The 18,751-nt window shown below is 36.2% G+C and overlaps 1 protein-coding gene across 21 annotated transcripts in view; it reads left to right on the top strand.

Annotated features, from left to right (window-relative positions):
- NEK1 (NIMA related kinase 1) overlaps positions 1-17,489 on the top strand; it is a 219,775-nt gene extending 202,286 nt beyond the window's left edge. For all 21 annotated transcript variants that reach the window (NR_164630.1, NM_001440625.1, NM_001440624.1 and 18 more), the window contains 5 exons: positions 3,551-3,702; positions 8,438-8,646; positions 9,647-9,777; positions 9,941-10,073; positions 15,775-17,489. Coding sequence is in view for 20 of the 21 variants with exons in the window: in NM_001440625.1 (NP_001427554.1) it covers positions 3,551-3,702; positions 8,438-8,646; positions 9,647-9,777; positions 9,941-10,073; positions 15,775-15,788 (639 nt within the window). In the remaining variant the exon portion in view is untranslated. The remainder of the gene's footprint in view (positions 1-3,550; positions 3,703-8,437; positions 8,647-9,646; positions 9,778-9,940; positions 10,074-15,774) is intronic.

Genomic DNA, 18,751 nt, shown 5'->3' with positions numbered 1-18,751 from the left:
AACATTTTAAGGTTTCCTAAAATTTGGTACTCCTGTTTGAACTTATAATGGTACCAAATGCTAGATGTGTAAATTATCATGTAACAATCTTGAAAAAAAAAATACTGTACATGAAGATCTCAGCCAGTGTGTTATAGATGAGCTGTTATTTTCAGAAAGAGTTCTTTTTGTGGATATTAAAACTATAGAATATTGTTTAAACAACATAGAAATAGTAGAATCAGAATTATAGAACTGAAAGTGTTCTTTTATAAAATTCTCTTGACCAAAGATGAATAACCTGTTTCAAACTTACCAGTCTACTATTCAGAATCTACCAGGAACTCAAACAAATAAGAAAAAAACAATCCCATCAAAAAGTGAGCAAAGGGCATTAATAGACATTTCTGAAAAGAATATAAACAAGAAACATATGAAAAACTGCTCAACATCACTAATCATCAGGGAAATGCATATTAAAGCCACAATGAGATACCACCTTACACCTGCAAGAACGGCCGTAATTTTTTCTTTTCTTTTCTTTATTTTTTGAGACAAAGTCTCGCTCTGTCGCCCAGGCTGGAGTGCAGTGGTGTGATCTCGGCTCACTACAACCTCCGCCTCCTAGGTTTAAGCAATTCTCCTGCCTCAGCCTCCCAAGTAGCTGGGATTACAGGCGCATGCCACCACACTGGCAGATTTTTGTGTTTTTAATAGAGACAGAGTTTCACCATGTTAGCCAGGGTAGTCTCAAACTCCTGACCTCAAGTGATCCATCTGCCTCGGCCTCCCAAAGTGCTGGGATTGCAGGTGTGAGTGAGCCACTGCACCCGGCCAAGAATGGCCATAATTAAGAAGTCCAAAAACAGGTAAGTGGCCGGGCGCGGTGGCTCACGCCTGTAATCCCAGCACTTTGGGAGGCCAAGACGGGCAGATCATGAGGTCAGGAGATCGAGACCATCCTGGCTAACATGGTGAAACCCCGTCTCTACTAAAAATACAAAAAATTAGCTGGGCGTGGTGTAGGGCGCCTGTAGTCCCAGCTACTCAGGAGGCTGAGGCAAGAGAATGGCGTGAACCCGGGAGGCGGAGCTTGCAGTGAGCCGAGATCGCGCCACTGCACTCCAGCCTGGGGACAGAGCAAGACTCTGTCTCAAAAAAAAGAAAAACAATAAGTAAAACAATAGATGTTGGCTTGGATGTGGTGAAAAGGGAACACTTTTACACTGCTAGTGGGAATGTAAATTAGTACAACCACTATGGAACACAGTATGGAGTTTCCTTAAAGAGCTAAAGGTAGAACTACCATTCGATCCAGCAATCCCACCACTGGGTATCTACCCAAAGGAAAAGAAGTCATTATATGAAAAAGACACACACACACCCATGTTTATAGCAGCACAATTTGCAATTGCAAAGATATGGAAACGACCTAACTGCCCATCAACCAACGAGTGAATAAAGAAAACGTGGAATATACGTACCTTGGAAGACTACTCAGCCATAAAAAGGAATGAAATAATGTCTTTTGCAGCAACTTGGATGGAGCTGGAGGCCATTATTCTAAGTGAAGTAACTCAGAAATAGAAAACCAAATAGCGTATGTTCTCATTGATAAGTGGGAGCTAAGCTGTGAAGACCCAAAGGCATAAGAGTGATGTAATGGACTTCGGCGACTCAAGGGGGGAAGGGTGAGAGGTAGATGAGGGATAAAAGACTGCACGTTGGGTACAGTGTACACTGCTCGGGTGTTGCGTGCACCAATATCAGAAATCACCACTGAAGAACGTATCCATGTAACCAAAAATCACCTTTACCTCAAAAACTATTGAAATAAAAAAAATCATTTGTATTGTTTAAAATATGAAAAGGAAAAATGAGAATAAATAAATCTATAGGGAAAAAAGCCTCCAAAGCCATGGGGGAGTAGGTGGGGGGACTTACTAGTCTATCAAGGAGTACTGTGAACATGAAGGGCTTATCCAGTTGATAGCTGTCAGATTAGTGGGTTGGTATAAACCTGTTCCAGGAGGTAAGTTGTCAAATTACATGACCACTTGAAATTTATTTTGGTTAACAAAAGGAGTAAACTAGAATTGAGTTTATTTTACCAGGGCCAGAATTTATCTCAGCCTAAAAAATATTGCATTATTTTATGTAGTAACCCCAAATTTAATTATATAATGCATATGTGCTGTTTATTGATTAGCAGGTACCTAAGGAAACCATTTCTGGTACATATTGCTAGTTTATAATATACATGGTCCAAACCATTAAAATAATAAACAAGGAAAGTGTGAATTCTACAGACAGTGGGAAATTCAGCAAAAGAAATACTTCCAGTACCATCACTAAGTGATTTAACAAGCAGTGTACTTTTACCAACTTGTAGTTCATAACGATTTTTCCCTTGAGTGTGAGAACATTTAAATTATGTTCAAATAATGGAAATCTTTTTCATTATTCTCAAAAACAGATTGTACCAATAAAATTGGCCAAGTATATAAGTTTTCATTAATATGCTAAACATTGTGTTTTCCTCACAGGCTCCCATCTGGTGAAGAGTTCTTATCAGTGCCTTAGTAGTCATGTTTCAAATCTCACAGATTCCTTTAGGGTTAACCCAGCTGTGAGAGTTATGTATGTAGTTAGTTGTTTCATAGCCTTGTCTATCTATCACATTCTAATTGTTGAAAGGTTGTTGGACAGAGGCTATTTCTATTATCCCTTATCCAGTACGGATTCACATTTTCAACACCTCAGCTGTGCTTTTTTTCTTTCCTCAACTCAGTTGGCTGAGTTTCTTCTTACTGTTCCTGCAAATTATGCTCAGCATTGACATCAAAGTGCTTGTCCTTCCTGCCTTCTGTTCTAGTGAGAAAGGTTCCACTCACAGTCCCATGGTCAGGGAAGCACTGATAGGCTTCTCTCTGCACTGATTTGAGGCCCCTCATTTCACCAGTATGTGGCTAATCAGCAGTTCCTACAATTGAGTGATACAAGGGGCTGTCAGTTATGTGTGGTGGTGCTTAGCCAAACTTCAGACTAACATGCTGCAGCATTTGGGCAAGACTGTGTGGGGCAAGTTGACCATAGGAAGATGAGAGGAACACTTAGCAGAAACACCGTGAAAGCGGAACAAATGGGTCGTGAGTGAGAAGGAGAAAACAGATAGTTTCTAGCACTGCCTGATTCCTGACAGATTTCCAAGTCCATTCCATGTTTATACCTAAATAAACACTTCTCCCAGTTTTCAAAGGTGGTATCAGGGAATTCCTGTGCTAAAACCCAAACATAACTCACAAGTTTAGTTTCCTGTGAAAAAAGACTGAGCTGAAATTCAAGAGAATTAGGTTCTAGCTTTATGCAAGTCACCTTTGGATCCTCTAGCTCTAAAAATATATATATATATTTTTTATATGTTACATATATATGTTACATATATAAAAAAACTTTTTATATGTTACATTTTACACATATGTAACAAAATTGTGATTAGTTCTAGTTTTCTCTCATTTTTATGTTTTAATTATCTTTCTCCTAATAAGAAATTTGTTGATTTTTATTTTAGATGTTAAGGACATGTTCACTTCCAGATCTCTCAAAGCTGTTCAGAACCCTTATGGATGTTCCCACCGTAGGAGATGTTCGTCAAGACAATCTTGAAATAGATGAAATTGAAGATGAAAACATTAAAGAAGGACCTTCTGATTCTGAAGACATGTAAGTATAATGTCATTAGTAAACAGCATTAAAAGATTTTCTGAATTTATATGTAAAAAAGAGGGGATAACTTACCTAGCTCTTTTTTTTAACTCATTAACCTCTGCTTTTATGTCTTCTGTATATTATTTTTATCTATTTTAAGAGACAGGGTCTCACTCTGTCACCTAGCTGGAATACAGGCTGGACACAGTGGCTATAATGTCATTAGTAAACAGCATTAAAAGAGTTTCTGAATTTATATGTAAAAAAGAGGGGATAACTTACCTAGCTCTTTTTTTTAATCATTAACCTCTGCTTTTATGTCTTCTGTATATTATTTTTATCTATTTTAAGAGACAGGGTGTCACTCTATCACCTAGCTGGAGTGTGGGTTGGACACAGTGGCTCACACCTACAATCCCACCACATTGGGAGGCCAAGGCAGGAGGAATGTGAGACCAGCCTGGGCAACATAGTGAGACACCATCTCTACAAAAAAAAATTTATTTTTTCTTTTGAGGTGGACTCTTGCTCTGTCACCCAGGCTGGAGTGCAGTGGCATGATCTTGGCTCACGGCGACCTCTGCCTCCCAAGTTCAAGCGATTCTCCTCCTCAGCCTCCTGAGTAGCTGAGATTACTTGCCACCACGCCTGGCTAATTTTTGTATTTTTGGTAGAGATGGGGTTTCAGCATGTTGGTCAGGCTGGTCTCAAACTCCTGACCTCAAGCGATCTGCCCACCTTGGGCTCCCAAAGTGCTAGGATTACGGGCATGAGCTACCACACCTAGCCAAAAAAAATTTTTTTAATAGCCAGGTTTGTTTCCACATGCCTTGTAGGTAGTCTCAGCTACTCAGGAGGCTGAGGTGGAAAAATCATTTGAGCCCAAGAGTTTGAGGCAGCAGTGAGCCATGATCATGCCACTGCACTCCAGCCTGAGCAACAGAGTGAGACCCTGTCTCAAAAATGAAAAATAAATAAGCTGGAGTGCACTGGCATGATGATAGCTCACTGCAGCCTCCAACTCCTGGACTCAAGCAATCTTTCCACTTCACTCTCCCAAATAGCTAGGATTACAGGTGTGAGCCACTGGGACTGGCCAAGTTAATTTATTATTGCAGAAAAATAAATTGATAAATTTAGTGTAGCCTAAGCATATACTGTGTTTATAAGTCTATAGTAGTGTATAGTAATGTCCTATGATAAGTACCCTATAAAGTTTACCATTTTTTATCTTTTATACAGTGTTTTCACTGTACCTTTTCTATGTTTAGATATATTTAGAATAGACAGATAGCATTGTGTTACAGTTGCTTCCAGTACTGAGTACAGTCATATGCTGTACAGGTTTGTAGCTTAGGAGTAAACAGGCTCTACTTTGTAGCCTAGGTATGTAGTTAGCTATACTGACTAGGTTTGTGTAAGCACATTCTATGATGTTAGCACAACAATGAAATTGGCTATAACAATGCATTTCTCAGAATGCTTCCTGTTGTTAAGCAATTCATGACTGTGCTCTACAGTTTCCCAGGAGAATGACCAGAAAGCTCCACATCTACCTCTTGCCATATATGATTTCAAAGCCATGCCAATGGGGAGTTAGCAGGTCGACCAGTTTTGTTCATGTGTGTGTGTGCACATGTGTCAGTGCACACATGTTTTCTGCATGTAATTGGATTGTTTTCACAAAATTGCTTTCTTTGTGATTCATGGGGAATCCTGAATCTAGGAGGGAAATTTAACAAGCAATACCTCTGAGAGCTGTAAGGAGTGATAACCCCTTAGATTGTGCACATGTACCCTAAAACTTAAAGTAAAATTAAAAAAAAAATTTTTTTCCATAAAAAAACAAAAAGAACCTTCCTTTACCTTGTTCAGTGTTGGTCAGCCCTCTCAACTGTCTTAGACAAATGTTACACACTTTTTGGTGTAATAAAACCAGAGTTTCCTAGAGTAAGGTGAGAAGGTACAGTGTGTTCAAATCACCTGGATAAAAAGTTATAAAATATTAGAATTTTTATAATTTATTTTGTAATTTCTTTGAACTTGTTTCTGCTTTTTACTTTTACCTTTGGAAAGAACTTGTATTTTGATCTGATTGAAAGTATTATATCACTCTCATAATGTTTTCTTCTGTATTGAGTTACGTAGGATCGATGCCGCTGGCACATTTTATTTTCTGGTTTTTGGTTCTTTTTTAAGCCTTGCCCTTGCTTCTTAAGTTTCTGGTGAAACTTCATTTTTAAAAGATTGCCTTTTTCATTTTTCCTAGAGTTCTGTAGATTTTTGCTAATGACCTTACAATCTAGAAGAAAAGTTACCTTTTTACTTTTGTTTCTTCTACTTGACTGTAGTCATTAAACACTGAAATATTGTGTTTTTATTAATCCTATTGGAGAACATAACAACATTCAGGATTTTTATTGTTGACAAACTGCTAACTAAAATTTTTTTCCCAAAAATTTTATGAAATCATTTATTTTTATCTGAATGAACTACAGCTTATTTGTGGCTTGTGTTCTTTTATTTTTTCTTTCTTCCAAGCTGCTAAGTTTGTGTTATGCATGTGTTCTTTTAATGAACAATTGATGACAGAATTTTATTTTAAAACTTAAGTTAGAAGCCTTTAGTATTAATTGAAAAATTCGAAAACCAAGTTGTTTTTAAAGTACGTTATTTCATATTGTTATAGGGATATTTCACTTGATGTTTGTCTTTGGAAAATTATTATTATTTTTTTTTGTCTAAACTTTAGTCAAGATTTTATAAGATAGCCAACTAAAAACTGAATTCAAGACCAAATTTTTTTAAGTACCTTAAAGTTTTTTGGTGCTCATTTAGTAAAAGATCTTAATCTTCTCATACTTTCTTACAGTGGCAAGCTTAGCTGCCTCAATTGAATACCATCTGCAGAGGGTACTAATTCCTCTAGGCCAGCCACTAGATGATTTTATGAACAGGTCAATATTTACTCATTGTAGTAATGGTACATAGCAGGTGTGCATACTTCGTTGATCTTTTTTTAATAATAAAATTTTTTGGGGGAGATAGGGTCTCACTCTGTCACCCTGGCTATAGTACAGTGCTGCAATCATAGTTCACAGCAGCCTTGGACTCCTGGGCTCAAGCAGTCCTCCTGCCTCAGACTCCCTAGTAGCTAGGAATACAGGCTCGTGCCACCACGCCTAGCTAAGTTTTTTGCAATTTTTTTTCTAGAGGGGTCTCGCTATGTTGCCCAGGCTTGTCTCAAACTCCTGGCCTCAAGCAATCCTCTTGTCTCAGCCTCCCAAAGGGCTAGGATTACAGGCATGAGCCACTGTACCCAGCCTAAATTAGTCTTGTAATTATATATTAAGTTAAATGCTACTAGTAGGATGATTCAAGAGATTAGACACTATTTTCTCATTCTAATTAGATGCTTTGCTTTTCTATAGCTCCTACAAGTCAAATTGTAGGCGTTTGTACATATAAGTACAAAATAAAGATATTTCTACATAAAAAGATTATTTACTCTATTAATGGAAATTATATTGACAGTCTTACACAATAGTGTTTATATTTTAGTTCTTCAGTAAATATTTGATTGGAGTCTAAACTTTTAGAAAGGCCTTAATTAGCCCTTGTGTCCTGTTAAGCATTGCCTTCCTGATAGATGAAATCCCGGCTTAGGTACATAATCTCTTTTAGAAGTCTTCAGACATCTAAAACATCAGTTAACTCCTTTAGTCTACAAACTTTTCCATTTACATTCCATGTTAGGATAAAGAAGCAAATCATAAGAGGAAAAAAATTTTTCTGAGTATGTTTCTCAGATATTACAGAAGTGGTCAAAGACTAGATTTCAGTGCTCTGTCATTTACTGACTATGTGGCCTTGACCAAGTCATTTAAACATTTTGGTTCATAGTTTTCATGTCTCTAAAGTGATTTTTTGTGGATAAAATTTGAGTAGTAGGATAAAAATGTTTAAAAAACAAAAGTTCTATATAAATGTAAGGTATTATTTGTATAAGTTATTTCATTCCAGCATCTATAATCCCATGAAAATAGAATGAATATTCTTACCAATACTTTGGAAACAAAATTCTCCAGTGAAGAATTATGATGGTTGGTATAGGCTAGTTACACAGAAAATCTATTATGTATTTTAGAACATTTTTAAGAATAAGCATCTAAAGATAAGATTTCTGGTGACCATTTTATTCACTGGGTCATCCTATTAACATGAATATAAAATTTCCTAAGTATTTCTATTTCTAAAAGTTCAAATGCCCAATGGGCATGTATATGGAAAGCCTTTTGTATAGTGTCTAGCTATTAGCCACATGGATATTTTGAAAATTACAAAATTCCATAAAAGAGAAAATAATTTACTATTATTTGTTTTAGAAAAACTTCTATAGTCTGGCCTGTTAAAATATCAAAACATTGTTTCAGAATTTAAGCAATGAGTAACATCGATAGTTATGTGATTCTCTTTGGCAAGTTGGGATCATTTTAAACAAATCATCTTCTGGCTTATATATTCCAGAATATGTGTTGTGTGATATATTTATCAGTTGTATTCATCCTCAATTTACCGGTGAAAAACAATGTAGGCTTTTTCCAGATTTTTTGTTATCTACTATTAGGATTTTTTAAGAAGTGCCTACGTATTGAGTAGAAGTAAAATTTCAGTATGAGGTAGTTTTAGTTGTTTAACTTGGTAAATTTCAGTATGTTTGAAACTTTTAGTTATACTTTTTAAATTTCAGTGTGTTTGAAGAAACTGACACAGATTTACAAGAGCTGCAGGCCTCGATGGAACAGTTACTTAGGGAACAACCTGGTGAAGAATACAGTGAAGAAGAAGAGTCAGTCTTGAAGAACAGTGATGTGGAGCCAACTGCAAATGGGACAGATGTGGCAGATGAAGATGACAATCCCAGCAGTGAAAGTGCCCTGAACGAAGAATGGCACTCAGGTGCATGATCAGAGTTTTGGACCTTTTTCTTTTTCAGTTTACAAATATTTCAAGTAGAGTGTATTTTTCTAATCTCTGCTGTGAACCATTTCCAACTTTAAATACAACTGAAGCATGCCTCTGGGTCTCTCCCCTTTTTTCATTCTTTTTCTTTTCATACAAATGTGTGATTTTCCATTTTTTATTAAAGTTTTTATTTCTTTCCTATTATGTCAATGCTTTTTTGAAGCATTTTTATTCTAATCTCCATTTATTGACTGATTTTTCCAGTAATAAAGATAATAACATTGTTTTCTTGGCATTCTATATTTTAGAAAGAGCTTCTGCATATATTAACCAGCAGAGTTAACACTGAAAGCAGTTTTTAAAGTACTAAAAACTCTTTTCGTAAATTTGTAAACTTTCTCTTTCATAATATTACCCCTAAGATGCATAGAAAGTGTGTCTGTTTCAATAACTATATGATATTAATTTAGGAAGAAAAGCTAATGTGAAAAGACTAAGTAATTTTTTTCAAAGTATGTCGAGCACGTACATGACAAAACATATTGGCCATTTATACTTTCTAGGTGCTTTCCTGAAATGTAATGATGTATGTCTTAGGTTGTCTACCTTTTGCAGGCTTTTCCATGGTGTTTCCCGTGTTTATTACCAACTTTTGAAAATACTAGTTAGGGTTAGCTGCTTCAAAGCAAAACATGGAGGTGTGCTTTTTCCACTTTTTTTTTTTTATTTAAGTAACATCTCTAGGAGTGTTTTGATTCCAACCTGATTTATTTTTTATATCTATACATGAAAAGTAACATTCTTGTTTAGACAGATTTATACATTTTTTTTGCCAAATAAAGGACAAATATTAAAATGACAAAAACTGTTTATAATGAAAGTAGAAGTAGTCTATTTCAATGGCATTATTCATTTGTCATAGAATTTTAGTCTATTAGGGTATGAGTTATTCAGTCTTTTTAAATCAAATCTCTATTTTAATTTTGTTTTTTAGATAACAGTGATGGTGAAATTGCTAGTGAATGTGAATGCGATAGTGTCTTTAACCATTTAGAGGAACTGAGACTTCATCTGGAGCAGGAAATGGGCTTTGAAAAATTCTTTGAGGTTTATGAGAAAATAAAGGTAAGTGAAAAGTCAATTAAAACACTTAAAATGTGCTATGTTTGAAGGTTGAAGAAATGTTGATAATCTGTATTGGTCATTAGATTTATTATAAATAAAAAGTGAAGTCTGCAATTACAGAAAGTTATTCAAATATTAATTTATATTTGGGAATTTGGTATAGGCTATTCATGAAGATGAAGATGAAAATATTGAAATTTGTTCAAAAATAGTTCAAAATATTTTGGGAAATGAACATCAGCATCTTTATGCCAAGATTCTTCATTTAGTCATGGCAGATGGAGCCTACCAAGAAGGTAAGATTTCCTCACATGTCTGTATAATTTTCAGTAAATGTGAGAAAAACAAGATGATACATGTATATGAATCAGCTTACATCACATCCATTTTGTGAAATCTACTTGGGAACTATATAACTTTTAAGCAATAATAAAATTAACTTTGTCATGTACTTTTACTGATCTGTCATATACTTTTACTGACTTAAGTCCTTTAAGTCCATATTTTTAATTTAATTTACAAGTAACCTTTGAATGAGGTTTTTAAAAATCTTACTAGATAGATTTTTGGACAGCTCTAGCAATTAGAATAATCCTAGCCGGGTGCCGTGGTTTATGCTTGTGATTCCAGCTACTTGGGAGGCTTAAGTGGGAGGATGGCTTGAGGCCAGGAGTTTGAGACCAGCCTGGACAACATAGTGAAACCCTATCTCTACACACAAAAAAATTTTTAATTAGCTAGGCATAGTGGTGGGCACCTCTAGTCCCAGCTACTCAGGGGACTGAGGTGGGAGGATTGCTTGAGCCCAGGAGTTTGAAGCTGCAGTGAGCTGTGATTGTGCTACTGCACTCAGCCTTGGTGACAAAGCCAGACCCTGTCTCAAAAAAGTAAATAAATAAAAATAAAGAAGATTATAACTTAGAATAATTCATTTTTTTTTGTTTTTTTTGAGACAGAGTCTTATTGCCCAGGCTGGAGTGCAGTGTCGTGATCTCGGCTCATTGCAACCTCCACCCCCTGGGCTCAAGTGATTCTCCTGCCTCAGCCTCCCAAATAGCTGGGATTATAGGCGTGCGCCACCACACCTGACTACTTTTTGTATTTTTAGTAGAGACAGGGTTTCACCATGTTGGCCAGGCTGGTCTTGAACTCCTGATCTCAGATGATCCACACACCTCAGCCTCCCAAAGTGCTGGGATTACAAATGTGAGCCACTGCGCCTGGCCCTAGAATAGTTCTTATCAAGGATGTGGTATTAAACGTTTTTTGTGTGTGTGAGATGGAGTCTTGCTCTGTTGTCCAGGCTAGAGTGCAGTGGCACAGTCTCAGCTCACTGCAACCTCTGCCTCCTGGGTTCAAGTGATTCTCCTGCCTCAGCCTCCTGAGTAGCTTGGCCTACAGGTGCTACCATGCCTGGCCAATTTTTGTATTTTTAGTAGAGATGGGGTCTCACCATGTTGGCCAGGCTGGCCTCGAACTCCTGACCTCAAATGATTCACCCCTCCTTGGCCTCCCAAAGTGCTGGGATTACAGGTGTGAGCCACTGCACCTGGCAAAACTTGTAGACACAAAAAGCAATATGTAAAATTTTGAACAAGAATTTATTTCTAGATTATTTGCCCAAACATTAATTTTATTACTTTAAATGTTAAATTCATAGACTAAAATTGAGGGTTTTAAATGTTGATGCTTAATTTTAGCAATAAAAATGTTTATAAAATGTATTTGTATTCCATACAAAATGTGTTTGCATATTCATACAAAAAAGTCTAAGATTGCATTGAAATATATATATGTATATAGTAAGAGAGAAAATTAAGTTTTAAAAAAAAGTTTGGGGAAGTCAACAAATTGGACAAATGAGCACAAGCAGTATAACATGAAGCCAGGAATGAAGAATACAAACTTCATGTTCAAAAGGTTTCCACATTTTCTAAAAACAGGAAACAAATTTGGTGCTGGTCTTTCTCACAAAGCAGAAAACCTAATTAATTACATGAGTCACAGTATTCATGAGACAAAACATTTTAGTTGCTCAGAGGACAGCTATTTTTGGTATTGAAACCAAAGGAACAATTTTCCCATGATCTTTAAAAAGAGGGCACTATCATACAGTGTTCCTCAAACTTGAATAACATGTGGATCCCTTTAAGGAGCAAAAAGTATTTTTTTCAGGCATGAGAATCCAAGGGTCTATAAACCCCAGTAAAAAAAAAAAAACTCAAGTCTTAGTGGTAGAAAATTTCTGTTAGTTGTGAATTATTACTGTAAAACATGTTGTATTTTTCTAAATATTAAAAAATTTTATCAAAATGAAAATATAAAAGGTAAACATTTTCTGGTACTTGTGGATTTCTTATTTTATTGAGACCTTGGACTTCATTTTACAAAACAGTGCTATAATGGAATGAAAAGTATCCTCAGTAATTTTTACAATATTTAGATTTCATGAGGCTGTTTCTCATATGTCATGCTGTAAGTTAATGGCACGAAGCCAGAGGATGATTCCATTTCAGTAATTCTGTAGAGTGTATCAAACCAATTCTATTCATATTCAGACTATTCCACCTCCAGGCGGTTCTCCTTAAGTATTGTTTCAATAGAGCTTTTCATAAGTAATCAGCAACAATGTGCTTGGGGTTCAGTTTTGCTCAACAAGTATCTGGAGAGCTTTTAGTTTGCCTTGCCCCTTAAGTGGAGAGCTGTAACAATCAACTTATTCACAAGGTAGAATTGACACCCTCTTTTGACAACTGAGTGGCTTCAAAAGGATATAAGCCTACACAGAAGGCCATTTCCCCTGCAAAGGACCAAGAATCAGGCTAGGTTAATACACCACTCAGGAAGCAATATCAGATTTTCTCTAGTACACAAATGGAAAGGGAAAGAGAACCCCAGAGTTCTGTATCATAAAGCCTGACAGTAATTCCTTCACCCTAGAAAAAATGTAAAGCAATTGAAGATGCCTACCCTGGCAATCTTTTCTAAAACTCTTAGTACATACCATTACAGCAGGTGTAGCTTAAAAAAAAATTGAGTACAGCCCATAAAATATTGTAACTTGCTACTATAGCTACTAAAGAAACTGGTTATAAAATGGATATTGAATTATGTGGATGACTTGCTGTTTTGTATTGTTAATCATGAGAGTTAAATGAAATGACTAGATATAGATTTCATATTCATTGATTCAGAATAACCGTTTTGCACTCCTTCTTATTGGAAGTCAGTAGAGCCCATATATAGCTGTTCTTTTTGATTTGGGGAGTTTTTTGTTGGGATTTTTTTTTTTCTATGGAGACAGGGCCTTGCTCTGTCACCCAGGTTGGAGTGCAGTGGCATGATCTCAACTCACTGCAACCTCCGCCTCCTGGGCTCAAGCAGTCCTCCCACTTCAGCCTCCTGAGTAACTGGTACTACTGGCGTGAGCTACCATGCCTGACTCATTTTTGTATTTTTTTGGCAGAGATGGCATTTCGCCATGTTGATCTCAAACTCCTGGCCTGAAGCTGTCCTCCCACCTCAGCTTCCCAAAGTGTTAGGATTACAGGTGTGACCCACCGCACCCAGCCTACCTGTCTTAGAGATAGTTGTCCAGACAGCTATCTTTTAGGCCACATCTAGGAGATGGTAAAGCCATGTCATCTACATATGGTACTTACACACTTTTATTTTCTGTGTTGGGGAAAAGGGAGAGTAAAGAAGGGAAGGGGTAAGCAAAATTTTATCTCGCTCACCCGAAAGTGACATCAAGTCATTAAGATACAAGTTAAAAAGAAGATTGTCAAAAACACATTTCTGTTTTATTTCACTGGAAATTATATAAGTCCTGAAAAGACAGCCTCAGCTATTTAACTCTCCTGATACTGTTATGGTGCAGGTTTGGTAAGCGTCAATATCTTCAGCCGTTGATAAAGTTAATGCTTTTTTTTCCATAGCTAGATACTATCCAGAGTCAGAAGTCAAATAGAGCTAATAAAATGTGTAAGCGATTTGATAGTATTCCTAATAAATTCTTCCACAAGGAGAGGAGTATAACAGCTGTGGCCAGTGGCAACCTGGCAGAGGCTACCATGTTCTCACATTGAGTATTAGCATTAGCGGCCCAAGTTTATAGATTCTTCTTTTTTTTTTTTTTTTTTTTTTTTTTTTTTTGAGATGGAGTCTTGCTCTGTCGCCCAGGCTGGAGTACAGTGACATGATCTCGGCTCACTGCAACCTCTGCCTCCCAGGTTCAAGCAATTCTCCTGTCTCACCCTCCCAAGTAGCTGGCATTACAGGCATGTGCCACCACACCCAGCTAATTTTTGTATTTTTAGTAGAGACAGGGTTTCACCATGTTGGCCAGGCTGGTCTCAAACTCCTGACCTCAGGTGATCTGTCTGCCTCGGTCTCCCAAAGTGCTGGGATTACAGGCATGAGCCACTATGCCTGGCCATTATAGACTCTTAAGAAAGAGACACATACCTTCTCTTCATATTCATTTTAGGTGGAATATTGGGCTGCGTTTATGTAATGAAATTGTATACATCGGCTAAAATGAATGAATTAAATTCCGACTGTCAATATGGATAAGCCCCACAAACATGATGAGTTGAATAAGTAGAATATTACACCATTTATGTAGTGTTTCTAAACAATTTTATTTAGATGTGCATGTACGTAATAAAAATAAAAGCAAAAACCATGAGCGGGAAGAATACACATCAATTTCAGAGTACTGAAAATGCCCCTGGGGAAGAAAGGAAGGCAGTAAGATTGAGAAAGGGTACTCTGCATCTGTAATATGGTTTTACTTAAATAATCCAAACCACTATGGCCAAAAGTTAGCTTTTGTTAATTCTACATATTATGGATATGTGTGTTCATTACTTTCCTGATTATTTGAAAAGTAAGTAAATTATAGTCCAGTGATAAGTGTTACCTTGGAAGCAATAAAATGTATGTAAGTTATAAAGTAATGATCCAACTACATTGATGGTGACAGGATAGGTCTTCCTAGGGGAGAGGACATCAAAGTTGGATTCTGAAAGACAAATGGGAATTTAATGCAAATAAGTACTCATACATGGAAGTATGCAAAATGTAGTAGGGAAACTATAAGCAATTCAGTGTTCCTAAAGCATAAATTATAGGGGCAGTTAAGGAAGGTGGGGAATGAAATTTGGTAAGATGAGAAATATTTAAAAGGCCAGATCATGAAGGGCTTTGTAATCCACGTTAAGGAGCGTGGATTCCATTTTGAGGCAGCAGGGAGCTAACAAATGTTTTAAGCAGTGCAGTGATTTGACATGACCCTTGGATTTTAATGAAAGATCACTTTTGCTAGAATGTGGAAGATAGTGCTTGCATATAAGATTAAGTTAACCAGTCTGTTTAATTCACTTGATTATAATCTTTAGAATTAAAAAAATTGAAAATAACAAAAATGTCTATAAATAGTAATGGTTAGTTATGTCATATCCATTAAACAGAATACTCTGCAGACATTGAAGTCAACATAGAATATATCCATGATTTATTCTTTAACATTTTATTGTCAAATTTTTATCATATTGAAAATCTGAAAGAACTTTACAGTGATCACCCATGCACCCACCACCTAGATTCTAACATTAGCATTTTCTAATCTTACATTATCACTTATGTATCCACCTTTCCATTCACTAGGGTGTTTTCAGTGGAAAACCTATGTTTCAAAACTGCATTTTAGTGTAATTTTTAAAAGATATTTGTGTATGCATAGGAAAGCATTGTGGGAGGATTTATATAAAGTTAACATTGGTTGTCTTTCACTTACAGATGATTTTTGCTTCCCATTTTATTCTTCATTGTATTGTCTGAATATTTTACAAGGAATGTGTGATAAAATAATTTTAAAAGTATGTTTAAAACTACATTAAAGCTCTTCTCCTTTAGCATGAACAAGAATGGGTTTTTTTTAAAGTAGATACAGCTTGATTTGAAATGAAGTCAATTTTTTTCTTTTTTCTACAGATAATGATGAATAATCCTCAAAATGTTTTTTAATCCTCAACTATATGAAAGCATTTGAATTTGGCTTATCAGAATAACAAGCTTCAGTGGGAAATACAGCAATTATTTATTTAAAAAATCAGATTTAAGATGGACTTTCTTATTGCATGAAAAAGATGGAGAAACATGCCATTTTTCAGTGAAGATTCTAATATTTTATCTATTTTGTTCATTGAATTCCATGGTTAAATCTCATAAAATATATACTTTATTAAATCATCCAACCAAAGCATAGGAAACATTGACCCAGAACCTGACTTAATGGTTTTGAAGATTTACTATGCAATAGGGTAACTTTGAGTTTCAGCAAATGTCTTTAGGTTGAAGGAATTACCTATGTCATGAAGGACCTGTCTGTGGTTTTTCAATGGAGTCTTTAAGCATGATCTTTTTTCTGTCTAGTACTTGTTTTCATTCTGGCCAGCAGTTCTACATTAAATCACCTTGTCAAGGGCTCTGTTTACATCTATACATTTTGAAGATGAAATTTTTAGCCTTAAAGTTTATATTCTCAAGTCCTTTTACAATCAGTGTGTCTCCTGAACTAGCACACAGGCTGTAGAAACAGTCTTAGAAATCATTGAAAGATTTGATTATGAAAGAATAGCAAAATTATATTTCTTGACATATAAAAAGTTGGTTTAATGCCTTTATTTCTCTTTAAGGACCAGAACCAGGAATACTATATCGAAAAATTAGTCTGTGGATTTAACACTGACTTAGCATATAGCTTAAAGTTGCTCTTTTGGTTTTTAACTTCCTCCATACATAAGCTTCAAGGACAATAAGATGTTAAAAAGGAGGAAATAATTATTTTTATTTTGACACTGTGACAGTTTTGGTAACTAGGATCCTAGGGAGGGAAATGTTTGCCTGTTGAACTTCTTTCTGTTATGAGAGGATTTAGTTAGGTCATTAAGATGTTGATCACACAGCTTCAATCACAATATGCCAAGTATAACCTGGTTTCGTTAGAGGTGTCTACAGTCCAGATGTTCTTCGTAATAAAAGCAAAGTTTTTGAACCTCTGAGTCCAAAGCAGGCTGGTTGGCATAATATGTAATTTGAAAAATAAAATCTTATCTTGCAGCACTATCAGTATGTTGAATTTATTATGTATATTATTTCTAATATCCGAAACTAAATACTTGATTTTTTAATATGTGTGTTTATTTTATGATATTGCTATTAAATTTTTATTATCTACCTGAAGTATATCAATTGTCTTTTATTTATTATTTTACTTTTCTCAATAGAAGGCTTTTACATCAAGCTGATAATACTTTTGTTGGTTTTGTACCTGATGATTTCTTTCTTCATAATGGAAGAAAATGAATTCAATATTTTAATTCTTTACAATCCTGAAAGATGGGCATGATTTTGGGGAGGTTGTGTATTAATTCTTAAACTATTACAACTATTAGAAAAGGGTATAATATGGTAGAAAAAAATTGTTTTAGCCATATTTCAAAAGATGTTATATATGTGCAGGAATAAGGATGATCAATAAGATTTGTGCCATCTCCAGTCGATTAGCAGTGTGTGACTCTGGAGTGTTGTTATGGAAAGATTATGCCAGTGAGGAAAAGGGCTATTTTTCAGTAAGGTCTATTATAAGTGTTGGAATTGACATGTGGAAGCATCTGTAGATTAATAAATGTTAGCATTAAATGGGCTATCAGGATAACTTTGTCTTTTCTGCATTTAACATGCAAGGATATTGAACATGAAATTAAGTCACTTGTGTAAAGGGTCAGGGTCAGAGCAGTTTCTAGGTCTTACACTGTTATTAGTTGCACATTCTTATCTCCCCCAGAGAACCAAAAAGAATAAATTTGATAGGAATTTGGGAGGCCGAGGCAGGTGAATCATGAGGTCAGGAGTTCAAGACCAGCCTGGCCAAGATGGTGAAACCCCATCTCTACTAAAAATACAAAAATTAGCTGGGCGTGGTACTGGGGACCTGTAATCCCAGCTACTCAGGAGGCTGAGGCAGAGAATTGCTTGAATCCAGGAGGTGGAGGTTGCAGTGAGCCAACATTGTGCCACTGCACTCCAGCCTGGGCGACAGAGTGAGACTCTGTCTCAAAAAAAAATTTTTTTGATAGAAAATAGTACACCTGGCATTAATGCATTAAGAATTCTACAGGCCAGGCACACTGGCTCACACCTGTAATCCCAGCACGTTGGGAGGCAGAGGTGGGAGGATCACTTGAAGCCAGGAGTATAAGACCAGCCTGGGCAACTTAGTGAGACCTCACCTCTACAAAAAAACAAAATTAGCTGGACGCAGTGGTGTGCACCTGTAGTCCCAGGTACTTGGCAGGCTGAAGCAGGAGGATTTCTTGAGCCCACGAGTTCAAGGCTACAGTGAGCTATGGTCATGCCACTGCTCTCCTGCCTGGGCAACAGAGCAAGATTCCATCACTTAAAGAATATATATACTGATATTTCCTATTCTGGGAATAACACACCATTCTACTTACCATTTTAAAACTTCTCAGCAGAGAGGTTAAAGTCGGGGTTTTTCCCCGTAAATTAACACATATTCTAATGCTTATCACTTGATTGATGATGGATCTTTGAAGAGTGTGTGTGTGTTTGTTATACACCTAAAAACATGCACAAGAGGTAAAAAGATGATGAATTGCAAGACCAAAGCTTTGAAGAAGGCCCAACTCAGAGAAATAAGTAGAATATTGTAGGGGAAAAAGCCACTTTTGACCTGAAAGCATGTCCAATACCTCACACTTTGATATAGTGGGCTCATGGGGCAAAAAGGATGAAAGGTAAGGTCAAGGACCATCCTAATTGGAGAATCCCATAGGAAACCCCAAAGAGTTACATCTTCACACTAAGGGAGAGCTAAAACTAAACCCAACCCCAAATTAGGGACTGTAAGAAGGGAAAGGGACAGAAAAGCCAGATAAGTTGTGGC

The sequence above is a fragment of the Homo sapiens genome, chromosome 4, assembly GCF_000001405.40.
Source record: "Homo sapiens chromosome 4, GRCh38.p14 Primary Assembly".
NCBI classification, from domain to species: Eukaryota; Metazoa; Chordata; class Mammalia; order Primates; family Hominidae; genus Homo; species Homo sapiens.
Note: the sequence above shows the minus strand (reverse complement) of the source record. Positions and strands in the feature narration are given on the sequence as shown.